Genomic DNA, 16,426 nt, shown 5'->3' with positions numbered 1-16,426 from the left:
TCTGTATAGTTTTTATATGAAGATATTTGCTTTTCCACAACATACCTCAAATCTCTCCAATTATCCACTTGCAGATTCTACAGAAGGAGTGTTTTAAAACTGCTCAATCAAAATACACTTTCAACTCTGTGAGATCAATGCACACATCACAAAGAAGTTTCTCAGAATGCTTCTGTATAGTTTTTATCTGAAGTTATTTGCTTTTCCACGATAGGCCTCAAAGCACGCCAAATATCCACTTGCAGATCCTATGAAAAGAGTGTTCCAAAACTGGTCAATCATAAGATAGGTTTAACTCTGTGAGTTGAATGCACAATCACGAGGAAGTTTCTCAGAATGCCTCTGTGTGCTTTTCATTTGAAGGTATTTCCTTTTCCACCATAGGCCGCAAAGGGCTCCAAATATCCCCTTACAGATTCTGCAAAATGAGAGATTCAAAACTGCTCAATCAAAAGATAGGTTCAACTCTGTGAGTTGAATGCTCACATAACAAAGAAGTTTCTCACAGTATTTCTGTGTAGTTTTTATTTGAAGATATTTCCTTTTCCACCATAGGCCGCAAAGGGCTCCAAATATCCACTTGCAGATTGTATAAAAAGAGAGATTCAAAACTGGTCACTCAAAGGATCGGTTCAGCTCTGTGAGGTGAATGCACACATCAAAAAGAAGTTTCTTAGAGTGCCTCTATGTAGATTTTATGTGAAGATATTTGCTTTTCCACTTTAGGTCTCAAAGCGCTCCAAATATCCACGTGCAGATTCTAAAAAAAGAGAGATTCTAAGCTACTCCATCAAAAGATAGGTTCAGCTCTGTGAGTTGAATTCACACATCACAAAGAAGTTTCTAGGAGTGCTTCTGTGTAGTTGTTATGTGAAGATATTTGCTTTTCCACAGTAGGCCTCAAATCGCTCTACATATCCACTTGCAGTTTCTACAAAAAAGAGTGTTTCCAAACTGCTCCATCATAAGACACGTTGAACTCTGAGAGTTGAATGCACACATCACAAAGAAGCTTCTCAGAATGCTTCTGTGTGGTTTTAATTTGAAGATATTTCCTTTTCCAAAACAGACCTCAAAGCTCTCCGAATATCCACCTGGTTATTCTGCAAAAAGAGGGTTTCAATACTACTCAATAAAAAGGAAGATTCAACTCTGTGTGAGGAACGCATTCATCACAAAGAAGTCTTTCTGAATGCTTCTGTGTAGCTTTTATATGAAGATATTTCCTTTTACACCACAGGGTGCAAACAGCTCCAAACTTCCACTTGCAGATTCTACAAAAAGACGTATTCAAAACTGTACAATCAAAAGATAGTGTCAACTCTGCATGTTCAATGCACACATCACAAAGGACTTTCTCTGAATGCTTCTCTGTAGGGTTTGTTTATGTGAAGACATTTGCTTTTCCACTATAGGGTGAAACAGGGCTCCAAGTATCAACTTGCAGATTCTGCAAAAAGGAGATTCAAAACAGCTAAATCCAAAGATTACTTCAACTATGTGAGTTGAATGCACACACAAAAAAGAAGTTTCTCAGAATGCCTCTGTGTAGTTTTTATGTGAAGATATTTGATTTTCCACATTAGGCCTCAAAGCGCTCCAAATATCCACTTGCAGATTCTAGAAAAAGAGTGTTTCAAAACTGCCCTATCAAAAGAAACGTCCAACACTGTGAGATGAATGCACACATCACAAAGAAGTTTCTCAGAATGCTTCTTTGTAGTTTTTATGTGAAGATATTCCCTTTTCCAAAGAAGGCCACAAAGTACTCCCAATATCCACTTGCAGGTTCTACAAAATGAGTGTTTCAAAACCGCTCAATCATTAGATAGGTTCAACTCTGTGAGACGAATGCACACGTCACAAAGAAGTTTTACGGAATGCTTCTATATAGTTTTTATTTGAAGGTATTTCCTTTTCCACCCTAGGTTGCCAAGGGCTCCAAATATCCACTTGCAGATTCGACAAAAAGAGACATTCAAAACTGCTCAATGATAAGTCCAACTCTGTGGGTTGAATCCATGCCTCACAAAGAAGTTTCTCAGAATGCTTCTCTGTAGTTTCTATGTGAAGATATTTCCTTTTTCACAATAGGCCTCAAGCTTTCCAAATATCCACTTGCAGATTCTGCAAAAAGAGAGATACAAAACTGCTCTATCAAAAGATAGGTTCGACTCTGGGAGTTCAATGCAAACATCACAAAGAAGTTTCTCAGAATGCTTCTGTGTAGTTTTTATGTGAAGATGTTCTGTTTTCTACCATAGGGCGAAATGGGGCTCCAAATCTCTACTTGCATTTTCTACAAAAGGAGAGATTCTAAGCTGCTCAATCAAAAGATAGGTTCAACACTGTTAGTTGAATGCACACATCCCAAAGAAGTTTGTGAGAATGCTTCTGTGTAGTTTTTATGTGAAGATATTTGCTTTTCCACAATAGGCCTCAAATCGTTCTAAATATCCACTTGCAGGCTCTACAAAAAGAGTGTTTCCAAATTGCTCAATCATAAGGTAGCTTCAACACTGAGAGTTGAATGCTCACATCATGAAGAAGTTTGCTCAGAATGGTTCTGTGTAGTTTTACTTTGAAGATATTTCATTTTCCAAATCAGGCCCCAAAGCTCTCCAAATATCCACTTGGTGATTCTGCAAAAGGAGCGTTTCAATACTGCTCAATAAAAAGAAAGGCTCAACTCTGTGTGAGGAATGCATTCATCACAAAGAAGTTTCTCTGAATGCTATCTTTGTAGTTTTTATATGAAGATAGTTCCCTTTCCACCACAGGGTGCAAAGAGCTCCAAATATCCACTTGCAGATTCTACAGAAAATGAGATACGAAAGTGCTCAAGGAAAAGATAAGTTCAACTCTGTGAGTTGCATGCACACCTCACAAAGAAGAATCTCAAAATGCTTCTGCGTAGTTTTTATGTGAAGATATTTCCTTTTCCAAGTAGGCCTCAACGTTCTCCAGATATCCACTCGCAGATTCTGCAAAAAGAGAGACTCAAAACTGCTGAATCAAAAGATAGTTTCAACTCTGTGACTTCATTGCACACCTCACAAAGATGTTTCTCAGAATGCTTCTGTGCAGTTTTTATATAAAGATATCTCCTTCTCCAAAATAGATCTCAAGGTTCTCCAAATATTCACTTCCAGATTCTATGGAAAGATTGTCTCAAAACTGCTCAATCAAACCAAAGGTTCAACCGTATGAGATGAATGCACACATCACAAGGAAGTTTCTCGGAATACTTCTGTGTAGTTTTTATTTGAGGATAGTTCCTTTTCCACCACAGACCACAAAGGGCTCCAAATATCCATTGCAGATGTTACAAAAAGAGAGATTCAAAACTGCTCAACCAAAAGGTAGTTTCAACCATGTGATATGAATGCACACAGCACAGAGAAATTTCTCAAAATGCTTCTGTCTAGTTTTTATTTGAAGATATTGCCTTTTCTACCATAGGCCACAAACGTCTCCAAATATCCACATGCAGCTTCTACAAAAAGAGAGATTCAAAGCTTCTCAATCAAAAGATAGGTTCAACTCTGTGAGTTGAATGCACACGTCACAAAGAAGTTTCTCAGAGTGCTTCTGTGTGTTTTTATGTGAACATATTCCCTTTTCCACAATAGGCCTCAAAGCTCTCCAAATATCTGCAAGCAGAGTCTACAAAAAGAGAGATTCAAAACTGCTCAATGAAAAGATAGGTTCAACTCTGTGAGTTGAATGCACACCTCCAAAGAAGTTTCTCAGAATGCTTCCGTGTAGTTTTTATGTGAAGATATTTACTTTTCCACAATTGTCCCAAAGCTCTAAAATATCCACTTGCAGACCCTCTGAAAGAGTGTTTCAGAATTGCTCAATCAAAGGAGAGGTTCAATTCTGTGTGACCAATGCACTCATCACAAAAAGTTTGTCTGAATGCTTCTGTGTAGAATTGATTTCAAGATAATTTCTTTTCCACCACAGTCTACAAAGGACTAAAAATATCCACTTGCAGATTCTACAAAAAGGGAGATTCAAAACTGCTCAATCACAAGATAGTTTCAACTCGGTGATTAGGAAGCACACATGACAAACAATTTCTGAGAATGCTTCTGTGTAGTTTTTAAGGGAAGATATTTGATTTTCAAAAGTAGGCCTCAAAGCGCTCCAAATATCCACTTGCAGATTCTGAAAAAAAGAGAGATTCAAAACTCCTCAATCAAAAGATAGCTTCTACTCTGTGAGTTGAATGCAAACCTCACAAAGATGTTTCTCAGAAGGCTTCTGTGTAGTTTTTATCGGAAGATATTTGCTTTTCCACAATATTCCTCAAATCTCCCCAATTATCCACTTGCAGATTCTACAAAAAGAGTGTTTCAAAACTGCTCAATCAAAATAAAGTTTCAACTTTGTGAGATGAATGCACACATCACAAAGAAGTTTCTCAGAATGCTTCTGTATAGTTTTTATCTGAAGTTATTTGCTTTTCCACGATAGACCTCAAAGGACGCCAAATATCCACTTGCAGATCCTATGAAAAGAGTGTTCCCAAACTGGTCAATCATAAGATAGGTTTAACTCTGTGAGTTGAATGCACAATCACAAAGAAGTTTCTCGGAATGCCTCTGTGTAGTTTTTATTTGGAGGTATTTCCTTTTCCACCCTAGGTAGCAAAGGGCTCCAAATATCCCCTTGCAGATTCTGCAAAATGAGAGATTCAAAACTGCTCAATCAAAAGATAGGTTCAGCTCTGTGAGTTGAATGCTCACATAACAAAGAAGTTTCTCACAGTATTTCTGTGTAGTTTTTATTTGAAGATATTTCCTTTTCCACCATAGGCCGCAAAGGGCTCCAAATATCCACTTGCAGATTGTATAAAAAGAGAGATTCAAAACTGGTCACTCAAAGGATCGGTTCAGCTCTGTGAGGTGAATGCACACATCAAAAAGAAGTTTCTTAGAGTGCCTCTATGTAGATTTTATGTGAAGATATTTGCTTTTCCACTTTAGGTCTCAAAGCGCTCCAAATATCCACGTGCAGATTCTAAAAAAAGAGAGATTCTAAGCTACTCCATCAAAAGATAGGTTCAGCTCTGTGAGTTGAATTCACACATCACAAAGAAGTTTCTAGGAGTGCTTCTGTGTAGTTGTTATGTGAAGATATTTGCTTTTCCACAGTAGGCCTCAAATCGCTCTACATATCCACTTGCAGTTTCTACAAAAAAGAGTGTTTCCAAACTGCTCCATCATAAGACACGTTGAACTCTGAGAGTTGAATGCACACATCACAAAGAAGCTTCTCAGAATGCTTCTGTGTGGTTTTAATTTGAAGATATTTGCTTTTCCAAAACAGGCCTCAAAGCTCTCCAAATATCCACCTGGTTATTCTGCAAAAAGAGGGTTTCAATACTACTCAATAAAAAGGAAGATTCAACTCTGTGTGAGGAACGCATTCATCACAAAGAAGTCTTTCTGAATGCTTCTGTGTAGCTTTTATATGAAGATATTTCCTTTTACACCACAGGGTGCAAACAGCTCCAAACTTCCACTTGCAGATTCTACAAAAAGACGTATTCAAAACTGTACAATCAAAAGATAGTGTCAACTCTGCATGTTCAATGCACACATCACAAAGGACTTTCTCTGAATGCTTCTCTGTAGGGTTTGTTTATGTGAAGATATTTGCTTTTCCACTATAGGGTGAAACAGGGCTCCAAGTATCAACTTGCAGATTCTGCAAAAAGGAGATTCAAAACAGCTAAATCCAAAGATTACTTCAACTATGTGAGTTGAATGCACACACAAAAAAGAAGTTTCTCAGAATGCCTCTGTGTAGTTTTTATGTGAAGATATTTGATTTTCCACATTAGGCCTCAAAGCGCTCCAAATATCCACTTGCAGACTCTACAAGAAGACTCTTTCGAAACTGCCCCATCAAAAGAAACGTCCAACACTGTGAGATGCATGCACACATCACAAAGAAGTTTCTCAGAATGCTTCTTTGTAGTTTTTATGTGAAGATATTCCCTTTTCCAAAGAAGGCCACAAAGTACTCCCAATATCCACTTGCAGGTTCTACAAAATGAGTGTTTCAAAACCGCTCAATCATTAGATAGGTTCAACTCTGTGAGACGAATGCACACATCACAAAGAAGTTTTACGGAATGCTTCTATATAGTTTTTATTTGAAGGTATTTCCTTTTCCACCCTAGGTTGCAAAGGGCTCCAAATATCCACTTGCAGATTCGACAAAAAGAGAGATTCAAAACTGCTCAATGATAAGTCCAACTCTGTGGGTTGAATCCATGCCTCACAAAGAAGTTTCTCAGAATGCTTCTCTGTAGTTTTTATGTGAAGATATTTCCTTTTTCACAATAGGCCTCAAGCTTTCCAAATATCCACTTGCAGATTCCGCAAAAAGAGAGATACAAAAGTGCTCTATCAAAAGATAGGTTCGACTCTGGGAGTTCAATGCAAACATCACAAAGAAGTTTCTCAGAATGCTTCTGTGTAGATTTTATGTGAAGATGTTTTGTTTTCTACCATAGGGCAAAATGGGGCTCCAAATATCTACTTGCATTTTCTACAAAAAGAGAGATTCTAAGCTGCTCAATCAAAAGATACGTTCAACACTGTTAGTTGAATGCACACATGCCAAAGAAGTTTCTCAGAATGCTTCTGTGTAGTTTTTATGTGAAGATATTTGCTTTTCCACAATAGGCCTCAAATCGTTCTAAATATCCACTTGCAGGCTCTACAAAAAGAGTGTTTCCAAATTGCTCAATCATAAGGTAGCTTCAACTCTGAGAGTTGAATGCTCACATCATAAAGAAGTTTCTCAGAATGGTTCTGTGTAGTTTTACTTTGAAGATATTTCATTTTCCAAAACAGGCCCCAAAGCTCTCCAAATATCCACTTGGTGATTCTGCAAAAAGAGCGTTTCAATACTGCTCAATAAAAAGAAACGTTCAGCTCTGTGTGAGGAATGCATTCATCACAAAGAAGTTTCTCTGAATGCTTCTTTGTAGTTTTTATATGAAGATAGTTCCCTTTCCACCACAGGGTGCAAAGAGCTCCAAATATCCACTTGCAGATTCTACAGAAAATGAGATACGAAAGTGCTCAAGGAAAAGATAAGTTCAACTCTGTGAGTTGCATGCACACCTCACAAAGAAGAATCTCAAAATGCTTCTGCATAGTTTATATGTGAAGATATTTCCTTTTCCAAATAGGCCTCCAAGTTCTCCAGATATCCACTCGCAGATTCTGCAAAAAGAGAGACTCAAAACTGCTGAATCAAAGCATAGTTTCAACTCTGTGACTTCATTGCACACCTCACAAAGATGTTTCTCAGAATGCTTCTGTGCAGTTTTTATATAAAGATATCTCCTTCTCCAAAATAGATCTCAAAGTTATCCAAGTATTCACTTCCAGATTCTATGGAAAGATTATCTCAAAACTGCTCAATCAAACCAAAGGTTCAACTCTGTGAGATAAATGCACACATCACAAAGAAGTTTCTCAGAATACTTCCGTGTAGTTTTTATTTGAGGATAGTTCCTTTTCCACCACAGACCACAAAGGGCTCCAAATATCCATTGCAGATGGTACAAACAGAGAGACTCGAAACTGCTCAATCAAAAGGTAGTTTCAACCATGTGATATGAATGCACACAGCACAGAGAATTTTCTCAAAATGCTTCTGTCTAGTTTTTATTTGAAGATATATCCTTTTCTACCATAGGCCACAAACGTCTCCAAATATCCACATGCAGCTTCTACAAAAAGAGAGATTCAAAACTTCTCCATCAAAAGATAGGTTCAACTCTGTGAGTTGAATGCACACCTCACAAAGAAGTTTCTCAGAGTGCTTCTGTGTGTTTTTATGTGAACATATTCCCTTTTCCACAATAGGCCTCAAAGCTCTCCAAATATCTGCAAGCAGAGTCTACAAAAAGAGAGATTCAAAACTGCTCAATGAAAAGATAGGTTCAACTCTGTGAGTTGAATGCACACCTCCAAAGAAGTTTCTCAGAATGCTTCCGTGTAGTTTCTATGTGAAGATATTTACTTTTCCACAATTGTCCCAAAGCTCTAAAATATCCACTTGCAGACCCTCTGAAAGAGTGTTTCAGAATTGCTCAATCAAAGGAGAGGTTCAATTCTGTGTGACCAATGCACTCATCACAAAAAGTTTGTCTGAATGCTTCTGTGTAGAATGGATTTGAAGATAATTCCTTTTCCACCACAGTCCGCAAATGGCTAAAAATATCCACTTGCAGATTCCACAAAAAGAGAGATTCAAAACTGCTCAATCACAAGGTAGGTTCAACTTGGTAATTTGAAAGCACACATGACAAACAATTTCTGAGAATGTTTCTGTGTAGCTTTTAAGGGAAGATATTTGATTTTCAAATGTAGGCCTCAAAACGCTCCAAATATCCACTTGCAGATTGTACAAAAAGAGAGATTCAAAACTGGTCACTCAAAAGATAGTTCCAGCTCTGTGAGTTGAATGCAAACCTCACAAAGATGTTTCTCAGAAAGCTTCTGTATAGTTTTTATATGAAGATACTTGCTTTTCCACAATATACCTCAAATCTCCCCCAATTATCCACTTGCAGATTCTACAAAAAGAGTGTTTCAAAACTGCTCAATCAAAATACACTTTCAACTCTGTGAGATCAATGCACACATCACAAAGAAGTTTCTCAGAATGCTTCTGTGTAGTTTTTTTTTTCAAGATATTTCCTTTTCCACCATAGGCTGCAAAGGACTCCAAATATCCAGTTGCAGATTCTACAAAAAGAGAGATTCAAAACTGCTCAATCAAAAAATAGGTTCAACTCTGTGAGTTGAATGCACACATCACAAAGAAGTTTTTCGAAATGCTTCTATAGAGTTTTTATTTGAAGGTATTTCCTTTTCCACCCTAGGTTGCAAAGGGCTCCAAATATCCACTTGCAGATTCGACAAAAAGAGAGATTCAAAACTGCTCAATGATAAGTCCAACTCTGTGGGTTGCATCCATGCCTCACAAAGAAGTTTCTCAGAATGCTTCTCTGTAGTTTCTATGTGAAGATATTTCCTTTTTCACAATAGGCCTCAAGCTTTCCAAATATCCACTTGCAGATTCTGCAAAAAGAGAGATACAAAACTGCTCTATCAAAAGATAGGTTCGACTCTGTGAGTTCAATGCAAACATCACAAAGAAGTTTCTCAGAATGCTTCTGTGTAGTTTTTATGTGAAGATGTTCTGTTTTCTACCATAGGGCGAAATGGGGCTCCAAATCTCTACTTGCATTTTCTACAAAAGGAGAGATTCTAAGCTGCTCAATCAAAAGATAGGTTCAACACTGTTAGTTGAATGCACACATCCCAACGAAGTTTCTCAGAATGCTTCTGTGTAGTTTTTATGTGAAGATATTTGCTTTTCCACAATAGGCCTCAAATCGTTCTAAATATCCACTTGCAGGCTCTACAAAAAGAGTGTTTCCAAATTGCTCAATCATAAGGTAGCTTCAACTCTGAGAGTTGAATGCTCACATCATAAAGAAGTTTCTCAGAATGGTTCTGTGTAGTTTTACTTTGAAGATATTTCATTTTCCAAATGAGGCCCCAAAGCTCTCCAAATATCCACTTGGTGATTCTGCAAAAAGAGCGTTTCAATACTGCTCAATAAAAAGAAAGGCTCAACTCTGTGTGAGGAATGCATTCATCACAAAGAAGTTTCTCTGAATGCTTCTTTGTAGTTTTTATATGAAGATATTTCCCTTTCCACCACAGGGTGCAAAGAGCTCCAAATATCCACTTGCAGATTCTACAAATAAAGAGATATGAATGTGCTCAATGAAATGATAAGTTCAACTCTGTGAGTTGAATGCACACCTCACAAAGAAGTATCTCAAAATGCTTCTGCGTAGTTTTTATGTGAAGATATTTCCTTTTCCAAATAGGTCTCAGAGTTCTCTGGATATCCACTTGCAGATTCTGCAAAAAGAGAGATTCAAAACTGCTCAATCAAAAGATACGTTCGACTCTGTGAGTTGAATGCACACATCACAATGTAGTTTCTCAGAAGTCTTCTGTGTAGTTTTTATGGGAAGATATTTGATTTTCCACAGTAGGCCTCAAAGTGTTCCAAATATCGACTTGCAGATTCTGCAAAAAGAGAGACTCAAAACTGCTCAATCAAAAGATAGTTTCAACTGTGTGAGTTGAAAGCACACATCACAAAGAAGTTTTTCAGAATGCTTCTGTGTATTTTTTATGTGAAGATATTTGATTTTCCACAGTAGGCTTCAAAGCACTCCAAATATCCACTCGCAGATTCTGCAAGAAGAGAGATTCAAATCTGCTGAATCAAAAGATAGGTTTAACTCTGTGACTTCAATGCACACCTCACAAGGGTGTTTCTCAGAAAGCTTCTGTGCAGTTTTTATATAAAGATATCTCCTTCTCCAAAATAGATCTCAAAGTTATCCAAGTATTCACTTCCAGATTCTATGGAAAGATTATCTCAAAACTGCTCAATCAAACCAAAGGTTCAACTCTGTGAGATAAATGCACACATCACAAAGAAGTTTCTCAGAATACTTCCGTGTAGTTTTTATTTGAGGATAGTTCCTTTTCCACCACAGACCACAAAGGGCTCCAAATATCCATTGCAGATGGTACAAACAGAGAGACTCGAAACTGCTCAATCAAAAGGTAGTTTCAACCATGTGATATGAATGCACACAGCACAGAGAATTTTCTCAAAATGCTTCTGTCTAGTTTTTATTTGAAGATATATCCTTTTCTACCATAGGCCACAAACGTCTCCAAATATCCACATGCAGCTTCTACAAAAAGAGAGATTCAAAACTTCTCCATCAAAAGATAGGTTCAACTCTGTGAGTTGAATGCACACCTCACAAAGAAGTTTCTCAGAGTGCTTCTGTGTGTTTTTATGTGAAGATGATTCCTTTTCCACAATAGGCCTCAAAGCTCTCCAAGTATCTGCAAGCAGAGTCTACAAAAAGAGAGATTCAAAACTGCTCAATGAAAAGATAGGTTCAACTCTGTGAGTTGAATGCACACCTCCAAAGAAGTTTCTCAGAATGCTTCCGTGTAGTTTCTATGTGAAGATATTTACTTTTCCACAATTGTCCCAAAGCTCTAAAATATCCACTTGCAGACCCTCTGAAAGAGTGTTTCAGAATTGCTCAATCAAAGGAGAGGTTCAATTCTGTGTGACCAATGCACTCATCACAAAAAGTTTGTCTGAATGCTTCTGTGTAGAATGGATTTGAAGATAATTCCTTTTCCACCACAGTCCGCAAATGGCTAAAAATATCCACTTGCAGATTCCACAAAAAGAGAGATTCAAAACTGCTCAATCACAAGGTAGGTTCAACTTGGTAATTTGAAAGCACACATGACAAACAATTTCTGAGAATGTTTCTGTGTAGCTTTTAAGGGAAGATATTTGATTTTCAAATGTAGGCCTCAAAACGCTCCAAATATCCACTTGCAGATTGTACAAAAAGAGAGATTCAAAACTGGTCACTCAAAAGATAGTTCCAGCTCTGTGAGTTGAATGCAAACCTCACAAAGATGTTTCTCAGAAAGCTTCTGTATAGTTTTTATATGAAGATACTTGCTTTTCCACAATATACCTCAAATCTCCCCAATTATCCACTTGCAGATTCTACAAAAAGAGTGTTTCAAAACTGCTCAATCAAAATACACTTTCAACTCTGTGAGATCAATGCACACATCACAAAGAAGTTTCTCAGAATGCTTCTGTATAGTTTTTATCTGAAGTTATTTGCTTTTCCACGATAGGCCTCAAAGCACGCCAAATATCCACTTGCAGATCCTATGAAAAGAGTGTTCCAAAACTGGTCAATCATAAGATAGGTTTAACTCTGTGAGTTGAATGCACAATCACGAGGAAGTTTCTCAGAATGCCTCTGTGTGCTTTTCATTTGAAGGTATTTCCTTTTCCACCATAGGCCGCAAAGGGCTCCAAATATCCCCTTGCAGATTCTGCAAAATGAGAGATTCAAAACTGCTCAATCAAAAGATAGGTTCAACTCTGTGAGTTGAATGCTCACATAACAAAGAAGTTTCTCACAGTATTTCTGTGTAGTTTTTATTTGAAGATATTTCCTTTTCCACCATAGGCCGCAAAGGGCTCCAAATATCCACTTGCAGATTGTATAAAAAGAGAGATTCAAAACTGGTCACTCGAAGGATCGGTTCAGCTCTGTGAGGTGAATGCACACATCAAAAAGAAGTTTCTTAGAGTGCCTCTATGTAGATTTTATGTGAAGATATTTGCTTTTCCACTTTAGGTCTCAAAGCGCTCCAAATATCCACGTGCAGATTCTAAAAAAAGAGACATTCTAAGCTACTCCATCAAAAGATAGGTTCAGCTCTGTGAGTTGAATTCACACATCACAAAGAAGTTTCTAGGAGTGCTTCTGTGTAGTTGTTATGTGAAGATATTTGCTTTTCCACAGTAGGCCTCAAATCGCTCTACATATCCACTTGCAGTTTCTACAAAAAGAGTGTTTCCAAACTGCTCCATCATAAGACACGTTCAACTCTGAGAGTTGAATGCACACATCACAAAGAAGTTTCTCAGAATGCTTCTGTGTGGTTTTAATTTGAAGATATTTCCTTTTCCAAAACAGGCCTCAAAGCTCTCCGAATATCCACCTGGTTATTCTGCAAAAAGAGGGTTTCAATACTACTCAATAAAAAGGAAGATTCAACTCTGTGTGAGGAACGCATTCATCACAAAGAAGTCTTTCTGAATGCTTCTGTGTAGCTTTTATATGAAGATATTTCCTTTTACACCACAGGGTGCAAACAGCTCCAAACTTCCACTTGCAGATTCTACAAAAAGACGTATTCAAAACTGTACAATCAAAAGATAGTGTCAACTCTGCATGTTCAATGCACACATCACAAAGGACTTTCTCTGAATGCTTCTCTGTAGGGTTTGTTTATGTGAAGATATTTGCTTTTCCACTATAGGGTGAAACAGGGCTCCAAGTATCAACTTGCAGATTCTGCAAAAAGGAGATTCAAAACAGCTAAATCCAAAGATTACTTCAACTATGTGAGTTGAATGCACACACAAAAAAGAAGTTTCTCAGAATGCCTCTGTGTAGTTTTTATGTGAAGATATTTGATTTTCCACATTAGGCCTCAAAGCGCTCTAAATATCCACTTGCAGATTCTAGAAAAAGAGTGTTTCAAAACTGCCCTATCAAAAGAAACGTCCAACACTGTGAGATGAATGCACACATCACAAAGAAGTTTGCTCAGAATGCTTCTTTGTAGTTTTTATGTGAAGATATTCCCTTTTCCAAAGAAGGCCACAAAGTACTCCCAATATCCACTTGCAGGTTCTACAAAATGAGTGTTTCAAAACCGCTCAATCATTAGATAGGTTCAACTCTGTGAGACGAATGCACACATCACAAAGAAGTTTTACGGAATGCTTCTATATAGTTTTTATTTGAAGGTATTTCCTTTTCCACCCTAGGTTGCAAAGGGCTCCAAATATCCACTTGCAGATTCGACAAAAAGAGAGATTCAAAACTGCTCAATGATAAGTCCAACTCTGTGGGTTGAATCCATGCCTCACAAAGAAGTTTCTCAGAATGCTTCTCTGTAGTTTCTATGTGAAGATATTTCCTTTTTCACAATAGGCCTCAAGCTTTCCAAATATCCACTTGCAGATTCTGCAAAAAGAGAGATACAAAACTGCTCTATCAAAAGATAGGTTCGACTCTGGGAGTTCAATGCAAACATCACAAAGAAGTTTCTCAGAATGCTTCTGTGTAGATTTTATGTGAAGATGTTTTGTTTTCTACCATAGGGCAAAATGGGGCTCCAAATATCTACTTGCATTTTCTACAAAAAGAGAGATTCTAAGCTGCTCAATCAAAAGATACGTTCAACACTGTTAGTTGAATGCACACATGCCAAAGAAGTTTCTCAGAATGCTTCTGTGTAGTTTTTATGTGAAGATATTTGCTTTTCCACAGTAGGCCTCAAATCGCTCTACATATCCACTTGCAGTTTCTACAAAAAAGAGTGTTTCCAAACTGCTCCATCATAAGACACGTTGAACTCTGAGAGTTGAATGCACACATCACAAAGAAGCTTCTCAGAATGCTTCTGTGTGGTTTTAATTTGAAGATATTTCCTTTTCCAAAACAGACCTCAAAGCTCTCCGAATATCCACCTGGTTATTCTGCAAAAAGAGGGTTTCAATACTACTCAATAAAAAGGAAGATTCAACTCTGTGTGAGGAACGCATTCATCACAAAGAAGTCTTTCTGAATGCTTCTGTGTAGCTTTTATATGAAGATATTTCCTTTTACACCACAGGGTGCAAACAGCTCCAAACTTCCACTTGCAGATTCTACAAAAAGACGTATTCAAAACTGTACAATCAAAAGATAGTGTCAACTCTGCATGTTCAATGCACACATCACAAAGGACTTTCTCTGAATGCTTCTCTGTAGGGTTTGTTTATGTGAAGATATTTGCTTTTCCACTATAGGGTGAAACAGGGCTCCAAGTATCAACTTGCAGATTCTGCAAAAAGGAGATTCAAAACAGCTAAATCCAAAGATTACTTCAACTATGTGAGTTGAATGCACACACAAAAAAGAAGTTTCTCAGAATGCCTCTGTGTAGTTTTTATGTGAAGATATTTGATTTTCCACATTAGGCCTCAAAGTGCTCCAAATATCCACTTGCAGATTCTAGAAAAAGAGTGTTTCAAAACTGCCCTATCAAAAGAAACGTCCAACACTGTGAGATGAATGCACACATCACAAAGAAGTTTCTCAGAATGCTTCTTTGTAGTTTTTATGTGAAGATATTCCCTTTTCCAAAGAAGGCCACAAAGTACTCCCAATATCCACTTGCAGGTTCTACAAAATGAGTGTTTCAAAACCGCTCAATCATTAGATAGGTTCAACTACTGTGAGACGAATGCACACGTCACAAAGAAGTTTTACGGAATGCTTCTATATAGGTTTTATTTGAAGGTATTTCCTTTTCCACCCAAGGTTGCAAAGGGCTCCAAATATCCACTTGCAGATTCGACAAAAAGAGAGATTCAAAACTGCTCAATGATAAGTCCAACTCTGTGGGTTGAATCCATGCCTCACAAAGAAGTTTCTCAGAATGCTTCTCTGTAGTTTTTATGTGAAGATATTTCCTTTTTCACAATAGGCCTCAAGCTTTCCAAATATCCACTTGCAGATTCCGCAGAAAGAGAGATACAAAAGTGCTCTATCAAAAGATAGGTTCGACTCTGGGAGTTCAATGCAAACATCACAAAGAAGTTTCTCAGAATGCTTCTGTGTAGATTTTATGTGAAGATGTTTTGTTTTCTACCATAGGGCAAAATGGGGCTCCAAATATCTACTTGCATTTTCTACAAAAAGAGAGATTCTAAGCTGCTCAATCAAAAGATACGTTCAACACTGTTAGTTGAATGCACACATGCCAAAGAAGTTTCTCAGAATGCTTCTGTGTAGTTTTTATGTGAACATATTTGCTTTTCCACAATAGGCCTCAAATCGTTCTAAATATCCACTTGCAGGCTCTACAAAAAGAGTGTTTCCAAATTGCTCAATCATAAGGTAGGTTCAACTCTGAGAGTTGAATGCACACATCATAAAGAAGTTTCTCAGAATGGTTCTGTGTAGTTTTACTTTGAAGATATTTCATTTTCCAAAACAGGCCCCAAAGCTCTCCAAATATCCACTTGGTGATTCTGCAAAAAGAGCGTTTCAATACTGCTGCATAAAAAGAAAGGTTCAGCTCTGTGTGAGGAATGCATTCATCACAAGAAGTTTCTCTGAATGCTTCTTTGTAGTTTTTATATGAAGATAGTTCCCTTTCCACCACAGGGTGCAAAGAGCTCCAAATATCCACTTGCAGATTCTACAGAAAATGAGATATGAAAGTGCTCAAGGAAAAGATAAGTTCAACTCTGTGAGTTGCATGCACACCTCACAAAGAAGAATCTCAAAATGCTTCTGCATAGTTTATATGTGAAGATATTTCCTTTTCCAAATAGGCCTCCAAGTTCTCCAGATATCCACTCGCAGATTCTGCAAAAAGAGAGACTCAAAACTGCTGAATCAAAGCATAGTTTCAACTCTGTGACTTCATTGCACACCTCACAAAGATGTTTCTCAGAATGCTTCTGTGCAGTTTTTATATAAAGATATCTCCTTCTCCAAAATAGATCTCAAAGTTATCCAAGTATTCACTTCCAGATTCTATGGAAAGATTATCTCAAAACTGCTCAATCAAACCAAAGGTTCAACTCTGTGAGATAAATGCACACATCACAAAGAAGTTTCTCAGAATACTTCTGTGTAGTTTTTATTTGAGGATAGTTCCTTTTCCACCAC

The 16,426-nt window shown here is 37.5% G+C and overlaps 1 annotated feature.

The window, feature by feature from the left end:
* Positions 1-16,426: part of a centromere (Linear centromere model derived predominantly from reads generated in PMID: 17803354. This region does not represent an actual centromere sequence, as long-range ordering of repeats and unmapped WGS contigs is not provided by the model. For details of model production, see http://arxiv.org/abs/1307.0035.) that runs on past both edges of the window.

This window comes from Homo sapiens, chromosome 15 (assembly GCF_000001405.40).
Source record: "Homo sapiens chromosome 15, GRCh38.p14 Primary Assembly".
NCBI lineage: Eukaryota > Metazoa > Chordata > Mammalia > Primates > Hominidae > Homo > Homo sapiens.
Note: the sequence above shows the minus strand (reverse complement) of the source record. Positions and strands in the feature narration are given on the sequence as shown.